The sequence below is a fragment of the Homo sapiens genome, chromosome 12 (genome assembly GCF_000001405.40).
Source record: "Homo sapiens chromosome 12, GRCh38.p14 Primary Assembly".
Classification (NCBI taxonomy): domain Eukaryota; kingdom Metazoa; phylum Chordata; class Mammalia; order Primates; family Hominidae; genus Homo; species Homo sapiens.
The window spans coordinates 37,646,837-37,666,877 of NC_000012.12; the positions used below are offsets into that span (position 1 = coordinate 37,646,837).

Sequence of the window (20,041 nt, forward strand, 5' to 3'; positions counted from 1 at the left end):
CTTTTGATAGAGCAGTTTTGAAATTCTCTTTTTGTAGAATCTACAAGTGGATATTTGGAGCAGTTTTCTGGCAATGGTGGAAAAGGAAATATATTCACATAAAAACTACACATAAGAATTCTGAGAAACTTCTTTGTGATGTGTGCATTCATCTCACAGAGTTGAACCTCACTGTTGATTGAGCTGTTTGGAAACACTCTTTTTGTAGAATCTGCAAGTGGATATTTGGAGCGCTTTGAGGCCTATTGTGGAACAGGGAATATCTTCACATAAAAACAACACAGAAACATTTGGAGAATCTTCCTTGTGACGTGTGCATTTATCTCACAGAGTTGAAATCTCTTTTGATTGAGCAGTTTTGAAATACTCTTTTCATAGAATCTGCAAGTGGATATTTGGAGTGCTTCGAGGCCTATGTTGGAAAAATGAAATGTCCTCACATAAAAACTACACGGAATCATTCTGAGAAGCTTCTTTATGATGTGTGCATTCAACTTGCAGAATTGGACCTGTCTTTTCATAGAGCCGTTTTGAAACTCTTTTTGTAGAATCTGTAACTGGCTATTTGTTGCCCTCTGTGGTCAATGGTGGAAAAAGAAATATCTTCCATAAAAACTACACAGAAGCATTCTGAGAAACTTCTTGGTGATGTGAGCACTCATCTCACAGAGGTGAACCTTTCATTTGATTGAGCAGTTTTGATACACTCTTTTTGTATAATCTGGAAGTGGATGTTTGTATCGCTATGAGGCCTATTGTGGAATAGAAAATATCTTCACATAAAAACTACACAGGAACATTCTCAGAAACTTCTTTGTGATGTGTGTATTCAACTCACAGAGTTGAAACTATCTTTTGATTGAGCAGTTCTGAATCTCTTTTTGTGGAATCTGCAAGTGGATGTTAGGAGCCCTTTGCACCCTATGGTGGAAAAGGAAGTATCTTCAAATGGAAACTACATAGAAGCATTCAGAGAAACTTCTTTGTGATGAGTGCATTCATTACACAGAGTTGAAGTTTTATTTTGATTGACCAGTTTTGAAAAACTCTTCGCTTGGAATCTGGAAGCAGATATTTGGAGGGCTTTGAGGCCTATTTTGGAAAAAGAAATAACTTCATATAAAAACTACACAGAAGCAATCTGATAAACTTCTTTGTTACGTGTGCATTCAACTCACAGCATTGAACTTGTCTTTTGATTGAGCAGTTTTGAAACTCTCCTTTTGCAGAATCTGCAAGTGGATATTTGGAGCTCTTTGTGGCCTACTATGGAAAAAGAAATATCTTCACATAAAAATTACATAGAAGCATTCTGAGAAACTTCTTTGTGATGGGTGCATTCAACTCACAGAGTTGAACCTGTCTTTGATGGAGCAGTTTTGAATCTCTCTTTTTGTAGAATCTGCACGTCGATTTTCTGAGCCCTTTGCACCCTATGGTGGGAAAGGAAATATCTTCAAATAAAAACTACACAGAAGCATTCTGAGAAATATTTTGTGATGTGTGCATTCATCACACAGGGTTGAACCCACCTTATGATTGAGCAGTTACCAAACACTCTGTTTGTGGAATCTGCAGGTGGATATTTGGAGCGCTATGAGGCCTACTGTGGAAAAGCAGATATCTTCACATAAAACCTACACAGAGGTATTCTGAGAAACTTCTTTGTGATTTTATGCATTCATCTCACGGAGTTGAACTTTCTTTTGATTGAGCAGATTTGAAACACTCTTTTTGTAGAATCTGCATGTGGATATTTGGAGCGCTTTGAAGCTTATGGTGGAAAAGTGAATATCTTCACATAAAAACTACACAGGAGCATTATGATAAACTACTTTGTGATATGTGCATTCATCTCACAGAGTTGAACCTATCTTTTGATAGAGCAGTTTTGAAACTCTCTTTTTGTAGAATCTGCAAGTGGATATTTGGATCTCTTTGAGGCCTATTGTGGAAAAGGGAATATCTTCGCATAAAAACTACAAGAAACATTCTGAGAAACTTCTTTGTGATGAGTGCATTCATCTCACAGTGTTGAACCTCTCCTTTGATTGAGCAGTTTGGCAACACTCTTTTTGTAGAATCTGCAAGTGGATATTTGGAGGGCATTGAAGCCTATTGTGCAACAGGAAATATCTTCACATAAAAACTACACAGAGGGATTCTCAGAAACATCTTTGTGATGTTTGCATTCATCTCAAAGAGTTGAACCTTCCTTTTGACTGAGCAGTTTTGAAACACTCTTTTTGTAGAATCAGCAACTGGATATTTGGAGCGCTCTGAGGCCTGTGGTGGAAAAAGAAATATCTCCACATAAAAACGACACAGAAGCAATCTGAGAAACTTCTTTGTGATGTGTGCATTCATCTCACAGAGTTGCACCTATCTTTTGATAGGGCAGTTTTGAAACTCACTTTTTGTAGAATCTGCAAGTGGATATTTGGAGCCCTTTGCGGCCTATTGTGGAAAAGGAAATATCTTCACATATAAACTGCACAGAAGCATTCTGAGAAATTTCTTTGTGATTTTTTACATTCATTTCACACAGTTGAAACTTTCTTTTGATTGAGCAGTATTGAAACACTCCTTTGTAGAATCTGGAAGTGGATATTTGGAGGGCTTTGAGTCCTATTTTGGAATAAAAAATATCTTCACGTAAAAATTACCCAGAAGCATTCTCAGAAACTTATTTTTTATGTGTGCATTCAACTCAAAGAGTTGAACCTATCTTTTGATTGAGCAGTTTTGAATCTCTCTTTTTTCAGTATCTGCAAGGGGATATTTGGAAAGCTTTGAGGCCTACTGTGGAAAAGCAAATATCTTCACATAAAAACTACACAGAAGCCTTCGGAGAAACTTCTTTGTGAGATTTGCAATCAACTCACAGAGTCGAACCTCTCTTTTGAATGAGCAGTTTTGAATCTGTCTTTTTGCAGAATCTGCAGGTGGATATTTGGAGCCCTTTGCGACCTATGGTGGAAAGGTAATATCTTCAAATCAAAACTGCACAGAAGCATTCTGAGAAACGTCTTTGTGAGGTGTGCATTCACCTCACAGGTTTGAAGCTATATTATGATTGAGCAGTTTTGAAACACTCTTTTTGTAGAATCTGCAAATGGATATTTGGAGCGCTTTGAGTCCAGTTGTGGAAAAGCACATATCTTCAAATAAAAACTACACAGAAGCATTCTGAGAAACTCCTTTGTGATGTGTGCATTCATCTCACAGTGTTGATCCATTCTTTTGAGAAGTTTATTATTATTATTATTATACTTTAAGTTTTAGGGTACATGTGTACAATGTGCAGCTTATTTACATATGTATACATGTGCCATGCTGGTACGCTGTACCCAATAACTTGTCATCTAGCATTAGGTATATCTTTTGAGCAGTTTTTAAACACTCTTTTTGTAGGATCTCCAAGTGGATATTAGGAGCGCTGTGATGCCTATGGGGGAAAAGCAAATGTCTCCACATAAAAACTACACAGAAGAATTCTGAGAAACTTCTTTGTGATGTGTGCTTTCATCTCACAGTGTTGATCCCTTCTTTTGATTGAGCAGTTTTGAATGACTGTTTTCATAGAATCTGGAAGTGGATATTTAGAGGCCTTTGAGACTTACAGTGGAAAAGCCAATATCTTCACATAAAAACTACAGAGAAGCATTCTGAGAAACTACTTTGTGATGTGTGCATTCACCTCACAGAGTTGAGCCTTTCTTTTAATGGAGCAGTTTTGAAACACTCTTTTTGTAGAATTTGCAAGTGGATATTTTGAGTGATTTGAGGCCTATTGTGGAAAAGGAAATGCCTTCACATAAAGACTACACAGAAGAATTCTCAGAAACTTCTTCCTTTTGTGTGCATTCATCTCACAGAGTTGAACATTTCTTTTGATTGAGCAGCTTTGAAACAATCTTTTTGTAGAATCTGTGAGGGGATATTTGGATTGCTTTGATGCCTATTGTGGAAAAGGAAATATCTTCACATAAATACTACACAGAAGCATTCTGAGAAACTTCTTTGTGATGTGTGTATTCATCTCATAGAGTTGAACCTATCTTTTGATAGAGCAGTTTTGAATCTCTTTTTGCAGAATCTGCAAGTGGATATTTGGAGACCTTTGTGGCATCTGGTGGAAAAGGAAATATCTTCACATAAAAACTACACAGACAGATTCACAGAAACCTCTTTGTGATGTGTGCATTCATCTCACAGAGTTGAACCTTTCTTTTGATTGAGCAGTTTTGAAACACTCTTTTTGTAGAATGTGCAACTGAATATTTGGAGCACTCTGAGGCCTCTGGTGGAAAAAGAAATATCTTTACATAAAAACTACACAGAAGCAATCTGAGAAACTTCTTAGTGATGTGTGTATTCATCTCACAGAGTTTAACCTATCTTTTGATGGAGCAGCTTTGAAACTCTCTTTTTGTAGAATCTGCAAGTGGATATTTGGAGCCATTTGCAGCCTATGGTGCAAATGGAAATAGCTTCACTTAAAAACTACACAGAAACATTCACAGAAACTTCTTTGTGATTTTTTGAATTCATTTCACAGAGTTGAACCTTTCTTTTGATTGAGCAGTTTTGAAACACTCTTTTTGTGTAATCTGGAAGTGGATATTTGGAGGGCTTTGAGTCCTATTTTGGAAAAGGAAATATCTTCACATAAAAACTGCACAGAAGCATTCTGAAACACTTGTTTGTTATGTGTGCATTCATCTCACAGAGTTGAACCTATCTTTTGATTGAGCACTTTTGAATCTCTCATTTTTCAGTATCTGCAAGTGGATATTAGGAGCCCATTGCAACCTATGGTGGTAAAGGTAATATCTTCAAATAAAAACTACACAGAAGTATTATGAGAAACTTTTTTGTGAGGTGTGCATTCATCTCACAATGTTGAACCTATCTTATGATTGAGCAGTTTTGAAACACTGCTTTTGTAGAATCTGCAAGTGTATATTTGGAGCGCTTTGAGTAGAATTGTTGGAAAGGACATTTCCTCACATAAAAACTGCAGAGAAGCATTCTGAGAAACCACTTTGTGATTTGTCCATTCATCTCACAGAGTTGAACCTTTCTTTTGATTGAGCAGTTTTGAAATACTCTTTGTGTAGAATCTGCAAGTGGATATTTGGAGCGATTTGAGTCCTATTGTGGAATAGGAAATATCTTCACATAAAAACTACACAGAAGCATTCTAAGAAACTACTTTGTGATGTCTGCATTCAACTCACAGAGTTGAACCTATCTCTTGATGGAGCAGTTTTGAAACACTGTTTTTGTAGAATCTGCAGGTGGAAATTTGGAGTGCTTTGAGGCTCAATGTGGAAAAACAAATATCTTCACATAAAAACTACACAGATGCATTCTGAGAAACTTCTTTGTGAGGTGTGCATTCAACACACGGAGTTGAAACTATCTTTTCATTGAGCAGTTTTGAGTCTCTTTTTACAGAATCTGCAAGTGGATATTTGGAGAGCTTTGAGGCCCATAGTGGAAAAGGAAATATCTTCACATAAAAACTACACAGAAGATTTCTGTAAAACTTCTTTTTGAAGGGTGCATTCAACTCACAGAGTTCAACCTGTCTTTTGATTGAGCAGTTTTGAATCTCTCTTTTTGTAGAATATGTAAGTGGATATTTGTAGCCCTTTCTGCCCTATGGTGGAAAAGGAAATATCTTCAAATAAAAACTACACAGAAGTATTCTGAGAAATTTCTTTGTGATGTGTGCATTTTTCTCACACGGTTGAACCTATCTTATGATTGAGCAGTTTTGAAACACTCTCTTTGTAGAATCTGAAAGTGGATATTCGGAGGGTTTGAGGCCTATTGTGGAAAAGGAAATATCTTCACATAAAAAACTTCACAGAAGCATTCTGAGAAACTTCCTTGTGATGTGTGTATTCAACTCACAGAGTTGAAACTATCTTTTGATTGAGCAGTTCTGAATCTCTTTTTGTGGAATCTGCAAGTGGATGTTAGGAGCCCTTTACACCCTATGGTGGAAAAGGAAGTATCTTCAAATGGAAACTACATAGAAGCATTCAGAGAAACTTCTTTGTGATGAGTGTATTCATTACACAGAGTTGAAGCTTTATTTTGATTGACCAGTTTTGAAAAACTCTTTGCTTGGAATCTGGAAGCAGATATTTGGAGGGCTTTGTGGCTTATTTTGGAAAAGGAAATAACTTCACATAAAAACTACACAGAAGCAATCTGATAAACTTCTTTGTTACGTGTGCATTCAACTCACAGCATTGAACTTGTCTTTTGATTGAGCAGTTTTGAAACTCCCCTTTTGCAGAATCTGCAAGTGGATATTTGGAGCTCTTTGTGGCCTACTATGGAAAAAGAAATATCTTCACATAAAAATTACATAGAAGCATTCTGAGAAACTTCTTTGTGATGGGTGCATTCAACTCACAGAGTTGAACCTGTCTTTGATGGAGCAGTTTTGAATCTCTCTTTTTGTAGAATCTGCACGTCGATTTTCTGAGCCCTTTGCACCCTATGGTGGGAAAGGAAATATCTTCAAATAAAAACTACACAGAAGCATTCTGAGAAATATTTTGTGATGTGTGCATTCATCACACAGGGTTGAACCCACCTTATGATTGAGCAGTTACCAAACACTCTGTTTGTGGAATCTGCAGGTGGATATTTGGAGCGCTATGAGGCCTACTGTGGAAAAGCAAATATCTTCACATAAAACCTACACAGAGGTATTCTGAGAAACTTCTTTGTGATTTTGTGCATTCATCTCACGGAGTTGAACTTTCTTTTGATTGAGCAGATTTGAAACACTCTTTCTGTAGAATCTGCATGTGGATATTTGGAGCGCTTTGAAGCTTATGGTGGAAAAGTGAATATCTTCACATAAAAACTACACAGGAGCATTATGATAAACTACTTTGTGATGTGTGCATTCATCTCACAGAGTTGAACCTATCTTTTGATAGAGCAGTTTTGAAACTCTCTTTTTGTAGAATCTGCAAGTGGATATTTGGATCTCTTTGAGGCCTATTGTGGAAAAGGGAATATCTTCGCATAAAAACTACAAGAAACATTCTGAGAAACTTCTTTGTGATGAGTGCATTCATCTCACAGTGTTGAACCTCTCCTTTGATTGAGCAGTTTGGCAACACTCTTTTTGTAGAATCTGAAAGTGGATATTTGGAGGGCATTGAAGCCTATTGTGCAACAGGAAATATCTTCACATAAAAACTACACAGAAGCATTCTGAGAAACTTCCTTGTGATGTGTGCATTCATCTCACAGAGTTGAACTTCTCTTTTGTTTGAGCAGTTTTGAAATACTCTTTTCGTAGAATCTGCAATTGGATATTTGGACAGCTTTGAGGGCTATGGTGGAAAAGGAAATATCTACAAGTAAAAACTACACAGAATCATTCTGAGAAGCTTCTTTGTGATGTGTTCATTCAACTCGCAGAGTTGAACCCATCTTCTCATAGAGTAGTTTTGAAACTCTCTTTTTGTAGAATCTGTAAGTGGTTATTTGGAGCCCTATTTGGCCAATGGTGGAAAAGGAAATATCTTCCCATAAAAACTACACAGAAGCATTCTGAGAAACTTCATTGTGTTGTGAGAACTCATCTCACAGAGGTGAACCTTTCATTCTATTGAGCAGTCTTGATACACTCTTTTTGTAGAATGTGCAGGTGGATATTTGTAGCGTTTTGAGGCCTATTGTGGAAAAGGAAATATCTTCACATAAAAACTACACAGTAGCATTCTCAGAAACTTTTTTTTTGTGCATTCATCTCACAGAGTTAAACGTTTCTTTTAATTGAGCAGTGTTGAAACACTCTTTGTGTAGAATCTGCAAGTGGATACCAGGAGTGCTTTGAAGCCTAAGGTGGAAAAGGGTAAATCTTCACATAAAACTACTCAGAAGCATTCTGAGAAACTTCTTTGTGATGCGTGCATTCAACTCACAGAGTTGAAACTATCTTTTGATTGAGCAGTTTTTAATCTGTTTTTTTGCAGAATCTGCCAGTGGATATTTGGAGCCATTTGCGACCTATGGTGGAAAAGGAAATATCTCAAATAAAAACTACACAGAAGCATTTAGAGAGACTGCTTTGTGATGAGTGCATTCATCACACAGAGTCGAACTTTTCTTTTGATTGGGCAGTTTTGAAACACTCTTTTTGTGCATTCTGGAAGTGGATATTTGGAGGGCTTTGAAGCCTATTTTGAAAAAGGTAATATCTTCACATAAAAGCTACACAGAAGTATTCTGAGAAACTTCTTTGTTATGTAGGCATTCAACTCACAGATTTGAAACTATCTTTTGATTGAGGAGTTTTGAATCTCTCTTTTTGCGGAATCTGCAAGAGGATATTTGGAGTGCTTTGAGGGCTACTGTGGAAAAGCAAATAACTTCACATAAAAACTACACAGAAGCATTCTGAGAAACTTCTTTGTGATGTGTGCACTCATCTCACAGAGATGAACCTTTCATATGATTGATCAGTTTTGAAACAATCTTTTTGTATAATCTGCAAGTGGATATTTGGAGTGCTTTGAGGCCTACCGTTGAAAAGCAAATATCTTCAGATAAAAACTACACGAAAGCATTCTGAGAAACTTCTTTGTGAAGTGTGCATTCAACTCACAGAGTTGAACTTATCTTTTGAATGAGCAGTTTTGAATCTCTCTTTTTGCAAAATCTGCAAGAGGATATTTGGAGCGCTTTGAGGACTACTGTGGAAAAGCCAATATCTTCACATAAAAACTACACAGAAGCATTCTGAGAAACTTATTTTTGGGGTGTTCATTCAACACACAGAGCTGTATCTATCTTTTGATTGTGCAGTCAGGATCTGTTATTTTTTTTTTGCAGAATCTGCATGTGGATATTTGGAGAGCTTTGAGGCGGATTGTGGAAAAGGAAATATCTTCACATAAAAACTACAGAGAAGCATTCTGTGAAACTTCTTTGTGAGGGCTTCATTCAACTCACAGAGTTGAGCCTATCTTTTGATTGAGCAGTTACCAATCTCTCATTTTGTAGAATCTGCAAGTGGATATTTGGAGCCCTTTGTGGCCTACGGTGGAAAAGTAAATATCTTCAAATAAAAACTACACTGAAACATTCTGATAAACTTCTTTGTGATGTGCGCATTCAACTCACAGGGTTGAACCTATCTTATGATTGAGCAGTTTTGAAACACTCTTTTTGTAGTATCTGCAAGTGAATATTTGGAGCACTTTGAGGCCTTTTGTGGAAAAGGAAATATCTTCACATAAAAACTACACAGAAGCATTCTGAGAAACTTCTTTGTGATGATTGCATTCATCTCACAGAGTTGAATCTATCTTTTGATTGAGCAGTTTTTAATGTCTTTTTTTGCAGAATCTGCCATTGGACATTTGGAGCCGTTTGCGACCTATGGTGGAAAAAGAAATATCTTCAAATAAAAACTACACAGAAGCATTTAGAGAAACTTCTTTGTGATGTGTGCATTCATCTCACAGAGTTGAAACTTTCTTTTGATTGAGCAGTTTTGAAACACTCTTTTTGTAAAATCTGCAGGTGGATATTTGGAGCGATTTGTGGACTACTGTGGAAAAGGAATTATCTTCACATAAAAAATACACAAAAGCATTCTGAGAAACTTCTTTGTGATGTGTGCATTCAACGCATAGAGTTGTACCTATCTTTTGATTGAGCTCTTTTGCATCTCTCTTTTTGTAGAATCTGCAAGTGGATATTTGGAGCCATTTTCACCCTATGGTGTAAAAGGAAATATCTTCAAATAAAAGCTACACATAAGGATTATGAGAAACTTCTTTGTGATGAGTGCATTCATCAAACAGAGTTGAACCTTTCTTTTGATTAAGCAGTTTTGAAACAGTCTTTTTGTAGTATCTGGAAGTCGATATTTGGAGTGTTTTGAGGCCTATTTTGGAAAAGGAAATATCTTCACATAAAAACTGCACAGAAGCAATTTGAGATACTTCTTTGTTATGTGTGCATTCAACTCACAGAGTTGAACCTATCTTTTGATTTAGCAGTTTTGAAACACTGTTTTTGTAGAATCTGCAAGTGGATATTTGTAGCGCTTTGAGGCCTACTGTGGAAAAGCAAATATCTTCACATAAAAACTACACAGAAGCATTCTGAGAAACTACTTTCTGATGAGTGCATTCGTCTCACAGACTTGAACCTTTCTTTTGATTGAGTAGTTTTGAAACACTCTTTTTGTAGAATCTGTAAGTGGATATTTGGAGCGATTTGAGGCCTATTGCGGAAAAAGGAAATATCTTCACATAAAAACTACACAGATGCATTCTGGGTAACTTCCTTGTGATGTGTGCATTCAACTCACAGAGTTGAACCTATCTTTGTTTGAACAGTTTTGAATCTCTCTTTCTGTAGAATCTGCAAGTGAATATTTGGAGCCCTTTGTGGCCTATTTTGGAAAGGAAAATATCCTCACATAAAAACTACAAAGAAGCATTTTGAGAAACTTATTTGTGATGTGGTCATTAATCTCACAGAGTTGAACCTTTCTTTTCATTCAGTACTTTGGTAATGCTCTTTTTGTAGAATCTGCAAGTGGATATTTGCAGCGCTTTGAGACCTACGGTGGAAAAGTAAATATCTTCACATAAAAACTACACAGAAGCATTCTGAGAAACTTCTTCATAATGTGGGCATTCATCTTACAGAGTTGAACCTAACTTTTGACAGAGCAGTTTTGAAACTCTCTTTTTATAAAATCTGCAAGTGGATATTTGGAATGCTTTGAGGCCTATGGTGGAAAAGAAAATATCTTCACATGAAAACTACACGGAAGCATTCTGAGAAACTTTTTTCCGATGTGTGCATTCATTTCACAGAGGTGAATTACTCTTTTGATTAGGCAGATTGGAAACACTCTTTTTGTAGAATCTGCAAGTGGATATTTGGAGCGGTTTGAGGCCTATGGTGGCAAACGAAATTTCTTCACATAAAAACTGTACAGAAGCATTCTGAGAAACTTCTTTGTGATATGTGCCTTCAACTCACAGAGTTGAACCTATCTTTCAATTGAGCAATTTGGTATCTCTCTTTTTGTTGTGTCTGCAAGTGGATATTTGGAGCACTTTGTGTCATATTTTTGAAAAGGTAATATCTTCACATAAGAACGACACAGAAGCATTCTAAGGAAATTCTTTGCGATGTGTGCATTCATCTCACCGAGTTGAACCTTTCTTTTTAATTGAGCAGTTTGGAAATACTCTCTTTGTAGAATTTTCAGGTGGATATTTGGTGCGTTTGAGGCCCATGGTGGAAAAAGAAATATCTTCACATAAAAACTACACAGAACCATTCTGAGAAACTTCTTTGTGATGTGTGCATTCAACTCACAGTGTCGAACGTATCTTTTGATTGAGCAATTGCAAAATCCTTTTTTGTAGAATCTGCAAGTGGTTATTTGAGTCCTTTGCAGCCTATGGTGGAAAAGGAAATATCTTCACATAAAAAATGCACAGAAGCATTCTGAGAAACTTCTTTGTTATGGGTGCATTCATCTCACAGAGTTGAACCTTTCTTTTGTTTGAGTAGTTTTGAAACACTCTTTTTGTAGAATCTGTAAGTGGACATTTGGAGCACTTTGAGGCCTACTGTGTAAAAGGAAATATCTTCACATAGAAACTACACAGAAGCATTCTGTGAAACTTCTTTGTGACGTGTGCATTCATCTCACAGGGTTGAAATTTTCCTTTGATTGAGCAATTTTGAAACACCCTTTTTCTAGAATCTGCAGCTGGATATTTGGAGCGCTTTGAGGCCTATTGTTTAAAAGGAAATATCTTCACTGAAAAACTTCACAGAAGCATTCTGAGAAACTTCTTTGTGATGTGTCCATTTATCTCACAGAGTTGAATCTTTCATTTCATTGAGCAGTTTGAAAACACTCTTATTATAGAATCCGCAAGAGGATATTTGGAGCGCTCTGGGGACTATGGTGGGAAAGGAAATATCTTCACATAAAAACTACAAAGAAACTTTCTGACAAACTGCTTTGCAATGTGTGCATTCAACTCACAGAGCTGAACCTATCTATGGCTTGAGGAGTTTTGAAACTCTCTTTTTGTATAATCTGTAAGTGGATATTTGGCACTCTTTGACGCCTATGGTGGAAAACGAAATATTTTCATATAAAAACTACACAGAAGCATTCTGATAAACTTCTTTGTGATGTGTGCATTCATCTCACAGAGTTGATCCTTTCTTTGAATTGAGCAGTTTTGAAACACTGTTTTTGTAGAATCTGCAAGTGGATATTTGGGGCACTTTGAGGCCTACTGTGGAAAAGGAAATATCTTCACATAATAATTACACAGATGCATTCTGAGAAACTTCTTTGTGATGTGTGTATTCATCTCACAGAGTTAAAACTTTCTTTTGATTGAGCTGTTTTGAAACCCTCTTTTTGTAGGATTTGCATGTGGATATTTAGAGCGCTTTGTGGCCTGTGGTAGATAAGGAAATATCTTCACATGAAAACTACATAAAAGCATTATGAGAAACTTCTTTGTGATGTGTGCATTCATCTCACAGAGGTGAACCTTGCTTTTGATTGAGCAGTTCTGAAACACTCTTTTTGTAGAATCTGCAGTGAATACATTGAGCTCTTTGAGGCCCATTTTGGAAAAGTAAATATCTTCACATAAAAACTACACTGAAGCATTCTGAGAAACTGATTTGAGATGTGTGCATTCATCTCATAGAGTAGAAAATTTCTTTTAATTTAGCAGTTTGGAAACACACTTTTTGAAGAATCTGCAAGTGGATATTTGGAGCACTTTGAGGCCTATTGTGGAAAAGGAAATATCTTCAGATAAAAACTACACAGAAGCATTCTGAGAAACTTGTTTGAGATGTGTGCATTCACCTCACAGATTTCAATCTTTCTTTTGATTGGCAGTTTGGAAACACTCTTTTTGTAGAATCTGCAAGTGAATATTTGGAGCGCTTCCAGGTCTATGGTGGAAAAGGAAATATCTTCATATAAAAACTATGCAGAAGCAGTCTGAGAAACTTATTTGCCATGTGTGCATTCATCTCACAGAGTTGAACCTCTCTTTTGATTGAGTAGTTTGGAAACACTCTCTTTTTAGAGTCTCCAAGTGGATATTTGGAGCGAATTGAGGTCTATGGTGGAAAAGGAAATATCTTCACATAAAAACTACATGCAACCATTCTGAGAAACTTCTTTGTGATGTTTGCATTCATCTGACAGAGTTGAACCTTTCTTTTGGTTCAGCAGTTTTGAAACACTCTATTTGGAGAATCTGCAAGTGGATATTTGCAGCACTTTGAGGTCTATTGTGGGAAAGGAAATATCTTCATATAAAAGCTACACAGAAGCATTCCGAGAAACTTCTTTGTGATTTGTGCATTAATCTCACAGAGTTGAATGTTTCTTTTGATTGAGCAGTTTGGAAACACTCTTTTTGTAGAATCTGCAGGTGGATATTTGCAACGCTTTGAGTCCTGTGTTGGAAAAGGAAATATCTTCACATAAAAACTACACAGAAGCATTCTCAGAAACTTCTTTGTGTTGTGTGCATTCATCTCACAGAGTTGAATCTTTCTTTTGATTGAGCAGTTTTGAAACAATCTTTTTGTAGAATCTCCAAGTGGATATTTGGAGCGCTTTGAGACCTATTGTGGAAATGGAAATATCTGCACATTAAAATTACACAGAAGCATTCTGAGAAACTTCTTTGTGATGTGTGCATTAATCTCATGGTGTTGAATCTTTCTTTTGATTGAGCTGTTTTGAAACACTCTTTTTGTAGAATCAGCAAGTGGATATTTGGAGCGCTTTGAGGCCTATGATGGAAAAGGGAATATCTTCACAAAAAAACTGCACAGAAGCATTCTGAGAAAGTTATTTTTTTTTTATTTTATTATTATTATACCTTAAGTTTTAGTGTACATGTGCACAATGTGCAGGTTAGTTACATATGTAGACATATGACATGTTGGTGTGCTGCATCTATTAACTCGTGATTTAGCATTAGGTATATCTCCTATAGCTATCCCTCCCCCCTCCCCCCACCCCACAATCGTCCCCAGAGTGTGAAGTTCCCCTTCCTGTGTCCATGAGTTCTCATTGTTCAGTTCTCACCTGTGAGTGAGAAGATGCGGTGTTTGGTTTTTTGTTCTTGTGATAGTTTACTGAGAATGATGATTTCCAATTTCATCAATGTCCCTAAAAAGGACATGAACTCATCATTTTTTTATGGCTGCATAGTATTCCATCGGTCATATGTGCCACATTTTCTTAATCCAGTCTATCATTGTTGAACATTTGGGTTCGTTCCAAGTCTTTGCTATTGTGAATAGTGCCACAGTAAACATACGTGTGCAAGTGTCTTTATAGCAGCACGATTTATAGTCCTTTGGGTATATACCCAGTAATGGGATGGCTGGGTCAAATGGTATTTCTAGTTCTAGATCCCTGATGAATCCCCACACTGACTTCCACAATGGTTGAACTAGTTTACAGTCCCACCAACAGTGTAGAAATGTTCCTATCTCTCTACATCGTCTCCAACACCTGTTGTTTCCTGATTTTTTAATGATTGCCATTCTAACTGGTGTGAGATGGTATCTCATTGTGGTTTTGATTTGCATTTATCTAATGGGCAGTGATGGTGAGCATTTTTTCATGTGTTTTTTGCCTGCATAAATGTCTTCCCTTGAGAAGTGTCTTTTCATGTCCTTTGCCCACTTTTTGATGGGGTTGTTTGTTGTTTTCTTGTAAATTTGTTTGAATTCATTGTAGATTCTGGATATTAGCCCTTTGTCAGAAGAGTAGGTTGCGAAAATTTTCTTCCGTTTGTAGGTTGTCTGTTCACTCTGATGGTAGCTTCTTTTGCTGTGCAGAAGCTCTTTAGTTTAATTAGATCCCATTTGTCAATTTTGGGTTTTGTTGCTATTGCTTTTGGTGTTTTAGACATGAAGTCCTTGTCCATGCCTATGCCTTGAATGGTAATGCCCAGGTTTTCTTCTAGGGTTTTTATGGTTTTAGGTCTAACATGTAAGTCTTTAATCCATCTTGAATTAATTTTTATATAAGGTGTAAGAAAGGGATCCAGTTTCAGCTTTCTACATATGGCTAGCCACTTTTCCCAGCACCATTCATTAAATAGGGAATCCTTTCCCCATTCCTTGTTTTTCTCAAGTTTGTCAAAGATCAGATAGTTGTAGATATGTGGCATTATTCCTGAGGGCTCTGTTCTGTTCCATTGAACTATATCTCTGTTTTGGTACCAGTACCATGGTGTTTTGGTTACTGTAGCCTTGTAGTATAGTTTGAAGTCAGGTAGCATGATGCCTCCAGCTTTTTTCTTTTGGCTTAGAATTGGCTGGGAGATACGTGCTCTTTTTTGGTTCCATATGAACTTTAAAGTAGTTTTTTCCAATTCTGTGAAGAAAGTCATTGGTAGCTTGATGGGGATGGCATTGAATCTATAAATTACCTTGGGCAGTATGACCATTTCCACGATATTGATTCTTCCTACCCATGAGCATGGAATGTTCTTCCATTTGTTTGTATCCTCTTTTATTTCATTGAGCAGTAGTTTGTAGTTCTCCTTGAAGAGGTTCTTCACGTCCCTTGTAAGTTGGATTCCTAGGTATTTTATTCTCTTTGAAGCAGTTGTGTAGACTTCCTCTTTTCCGAATTGAATGCCCTTTATTTCCTTCTCCTGCCTGATTGCCCTGGCCAGAACTTCCAACACTATGTTGAATAGGAGTGGTGAGAGGGGGCATCCCTGTCTTGTGCCCGTTTTCAAAGGGAATGCTTCCAGTTTTTGCCCATTCAGTATGATATTGGCTGTGGGTTTGTAATAGATAGCTCTTAATATTTTGAGATACATCCCATCAATACCTAATTTATTGAGAGTTTTTAGCATGAAGAGTTGTTGAATTTTGTCAAAGGCCTTTTCTGCATCTATTGATATTATTATTTTGTTTTTGTCTTTGGTTCTGTTTATATGCTGGATTACATTTATTGATTTGTGTATATTAAACCAGCCTTGCAACCCAGGGATGAAGCCCACTTGATCATGGTGGATAAGCTTTTTGATGTGCTGCTGGATTCGGTTTGCCAGTATTTTATTGAGGATTTCTGCATCAATGTTCATCAAGGATATTGGTCTAAAATTCTCTGTTTTTATTGTGTCTCTGCCTGGCTTTGGTATCAGGATGATGCTGGCCTCATAAAATGAGTGAGGCAGGATTCCCTCTTTTTCTATTGTTTGGAATAGTCTCAGAAGGAATGGTACCAGTTCCTCTTTGTACCTCTGGTAGAATTCGGCTGTAAATCCATCTGGTCCTGGACTCTTTTTGGTTGATAAGCTATTGATTATTGCCACAATTTCAGATCCTGTTATTGGTCTATTCACAGATTCAACTTCTTCCTGATTTAGTCTTGGGAGAGTGTATGTGTTGAAGAATTTATCCATTTTTTCTAGATTTTCTAGTTTATTTGCGTAGAGGTGTTTGTAGTATTCTCGGATGGTAGTTTGTATTTCTGTGGGATCGGTGGTGATATCCCCTTTATCATTTTTTATTGCATCTATTTGATTCTCCTCTCTTTTCTTCTTTATTAGTCTTGCTAGCGATCTATCAATTTTGTTGATCCTTTCAAAAAACCAGCTCCTGGATTCATTAATTTTTTGAAGGGTTTTTTGTGTCTCTATTTCCTTCAGTTCTGCTCTGATTTTAGTTATTTTTTTTGCCTTCTGCTAGCTTTTGAATGTGTTTGCTCTTGCTTTTCTAGTTCTTTTAATTGTGATGTTATGGTGTCAATTTTAGATCTTTCCTGCTTTCTCTTGTGGGCGTTTAGTGCTATAAATTTCCCTCTACACACTGCTTTGAATGCATCCCAGAGATTCTGGTATGTTGTGTCTTTGTTCTCATTGGTTTCAAAAAACATCTTTATTTCTGCCTTCATTTCGTTATGTATCCAGTAGTTATGCAGGAGCAAGTTGTTCAGTTTCCATGTAGTTGAGCACTTTTGAGTGAGTTTCTTAATCCTAAGGTCTAGTTTGATTGCACTGTGGTCTGAGAGACAGTTAGTTATAATTTCTGATCTTTTACATTTGCTGAGGAGAGCTTTACTTTCAAGTATGTGGTCAATTTTGGAATAGGTGTGGTGTGGTGCTGAAAAAAATGTATATTCTGTTGATTTGGGGTGGAGAGTTCTGTAGATGTCTATTAGGTCCACTTGGTGCAGAGCTGAGTTCAATTCCTGGGTATCCTTGTTAACTTTCTGTCTCATTGATCTGTCTAATGCTGACAGTGGGGTGTTAAAGTCTCCCATTATTATTGTGTGGGAGTCTAAGTCTCTTTGTAGGTCACTCAGGACTTGCTTTGTGAATCTACGTGCTCCTGTATTGGGTGCATATATATTTAGGATAGTTAGCTCTTCTTATTGAATTGATCCCTTTACCATTATGTAATGGCCTTCTTTGTCTCTTTTGATCTTTCTTGATTTAAAGTCTGTTTTATCAGAGACTAGTATTGCAACCCCTGCCTTTTTTTTGTTTTCCATTTGCTTGGTAGATCTTCCTCCATCCTTTTATTTTGAGCCTATATGTGTCTCTGCACGTGAGATGGGTTTCCTGAATACAGCACACTGATGGGTCTTGACTCATTGTTCAATTTGCCAGTCTGTGTCTTTTAATTGGAGCATTTACTCCATTTACATTTAAAGTTAATATTGTTATGTGTGAATTTGATCCTGTCACGATGATGTTAGCTGGTTATATTGCTCATTAGTTGATGCATTTTCTTCCTAGCCTTGATGGTTTTTATAATTTGGCATTATTGGCAGTGGCTGGTACCGGTTGTTCCTTTCCATGTTTAGTGCTTCTTTCAGGAGCTCTTTTTGGGCAGGCCTGGTGGTGACAAAATCTCTCAGCATTTGCTTGTCTGTAAAGTATTTTATTTCTCCTTCACTTGTGAAGCTGAGTTTGGCTGGGTCTGAAATTCTGGGTTGAAAATTCTTTTCTTTAAGAATGTTGAATATTCGCCCCCACTCTCTTCTGGCTTGTAGAGTTTCTGCCGAGAGATCCTCTGTTAGTCTGATGGGCTTCCCTTTGTGGGTAACCCAATCTTTCTCTCTGGCTGCCCTTAACATTTTTTCCTTCATTTCAACTTTGGTGAATCGGACAATGATATGTCTTGGAGTTGCTCTACTCGAGGAGTATCTTTGTGGCATTCTCTGTATTTCCTGAATCTGGATGTTGGCCTGCCTTTCTAGATTGGGGCAGTTCTCCTGGATAACATCCCGCAGAGTGTTTTCCAACTTGGTTCCATTCTCCCCTTCAGTTTCATGTACACCAATCAGATGTAGATTTGGTCTTTTCACTCAGTACCATATTTCTTGGAGGCTTTGTTTGTTTCTTTTCATTCCTTTTTCTCTTAACTTCCCTTCTTGCTTCATTTCATTCATTTCGTCTTCCATCACTGATACCCTTTCTTCCAGTTGATTGCATTGGCTCCTAAGACTTCTGCATTCTTCATGTAGTTCTCGAGCCTTGACTTTCAGCTCCATCAGCTCCTTTAAGCACTTCTCTGTATTGGTTATTCTAGTTATACATTCGTCTAAATTTTTTTCAAAGTTTTCAACTTTTTTGCCTTTGGTTTGAATTTCCTCCTTTAGCTTGGAGTAGTTTGATCATCTGAAGCCTTCTTCTCTCAACTCGTTAAAGTCATTCTCCATCCAGCTTTGTTGCATTGCTGGTGAGGAGCTGTGTTCCTTTGGGAAAGGAGAGGCACTCTGCTTTTTAGAGTTTCCAGTTTTTCTGCTCTGTTTTTTTGCCATCTTTGTGGTTTTATCTACTTTTGGTCTTTGATGATGGTGATGTACAGATAGGTTATAGATGTGGATGTCCTTTCTGTTTGTTAGTTTTCCTTCTAACAGACAGGACCCTCAGCTGCAGGTGTGTTGGAGTTTGCTAGAGGTCCATTCCAGACCCTGTTTTCCTGGGTACCAGCAGAAGTGGCTGCAGAACAGCAGATTTTCGTGAACCGTGAATGCTGCTGTCTGATCGTTCCTCTGGAAGTTTTGTCTCAGAGGAGTACCCGGCCGTGTGATGTGTCAGTCTGCCCCTACTGAGGGGTGCCTCCCAGTTAGGCTGTTCGGGGGTCAGGGGTCAGGTACTCACTTGAGGAGACAGTCTGCCTGTTCTCAGATCTCCAGCTGAGTGCTGGGAGAAACACTGCTCTTTCCAAAGCTGTCAGACAGGGACATTTAAGTCTGCAGAGGTTACTGCTGTCTTTTTGTTTGTCTGTGCCCTGCCCCCAGAGGTGGAGCGTAAAGAGACAGACAGGCCTACTTGAGCTGTGGTGGGTTCCACCCAGTTCGAGCTTCCTTGCTGCTTTGTTTACCTAAGCAAGCCTGGCCAATGGTGGGCTCCCCTCCCACAGCCTCGCTGCCGCCTTGCAATTTGATCTCAGACTGCTGTGCTAGCAATCAGCAAGACTCCGTGGGTATAGGACTCCCCGAGACAGGTGCAGGATATAATCCCCTGGTGCACCGTTTTTTAACCCCATTGGAAAAGCGCAGTATTACGGTTGGAGTGACCCGAATTTCCAGGTGCCCTCTGTCACCCCATTCTTTGACTAGGAGAGAGAATTCCCTGTCCCCTTGCACTTCCTGAGTGAGACAATGCTTCGCCCTTCTTCGGCTCACGCATGGTGCGCTTCACCCACCGACCTGCACCCACTGTCTGGCACTACCTAGTGAGATGAGCCCGGTACCTCAGATGGAAATGCAGAAATCACCCGTCTTCTGCATCACTCACACTGGTAGCCATAGATCGGAGTTGTTCCTATTCAGCCACCATGGCTCCAGACCCCCTCTGAGAAACTTCTTTGTGATGTGTGCATTTGTCTCACAGAGTTGAAACTTTCTTATGATTCAGGAGTTTTCAAACACTCTTTTTGTAGCATCTGCAAGTGGATATTTGGAGGGACTTGATGCTTATTA

The 20,041-nt window shown here is 37.9% G+C and overlaps 4 annotated features.

Annotated features, from left to right (window-relative positions):
* Positions 798-1,299: an enhancer, noted in NCBI's record as "NANOG hESC enhancer chr12:38041436-38041937 (GRCh37/hg19 assembly coordinates)". NCBI's record gives its function as "activates a minimal SCP1, AML or CMV promoter by ChIP-STARR-seq in primed H9 embryonic stem cells {active_cell/tissue: H9 hESC(primed)}" and the evidence as "EXISTENCE:reporter gene assay evidence [ECO:0000049][PMID:30033119]".
* Positions 5,496-6,035: an enhancer, noted in NCBI's record as "OCT4-NANOG hESC enhancer chr12:38046134-38046673 (GRCh37/hg19 assembly coordinates)". NCBI's record gives its function as "activates a minimal SCP1, AML or CMV promoter by ChIP-STARR-seq in primed H9 embryonic stem cells {active_cell/tissue: H9 hESC(primed)}" and the evidence as "EXISTENCE:reporter gene assay evidence [ECO:0000049][PMID:30033119]".
* Positions 6,655-7,593: an enhancer, noted in NCBI's record as "OCT4-NANOG hESC enhancer chr12:38047293-38048231 (GRCh37/hg19 assembly coordinates)". NCBI's record gives its function as "activates a minimal SCP1, AML or CMV promoter by ChIP-STARR-seq in primed H9 embryonic stem cells {active_cell/tissue: H9 hESC(primed)}" and the evidence as "EXISTENCE:reporter gene assay evidence [ECO:0000049][PMID:30033119]".
* Positions 13,177-13,728: an enhancer, noted in NCBI's record as "OCT4-NANOG hESC enhancer chr12:38053815-38054366 (GRCh37/hg19 assembly coordinates)". NCBI's record gives its function as "activates a minimal SCP1, AML or CMV promoter by ChIP-STARR-seq in naive H9 embryonic stem cells {active_cell/tissue: H9 hESC(naive)}" and the evidence as "EXISTENCE:reporter gene assay evidence [ECO:0000049][PMID:30033119]".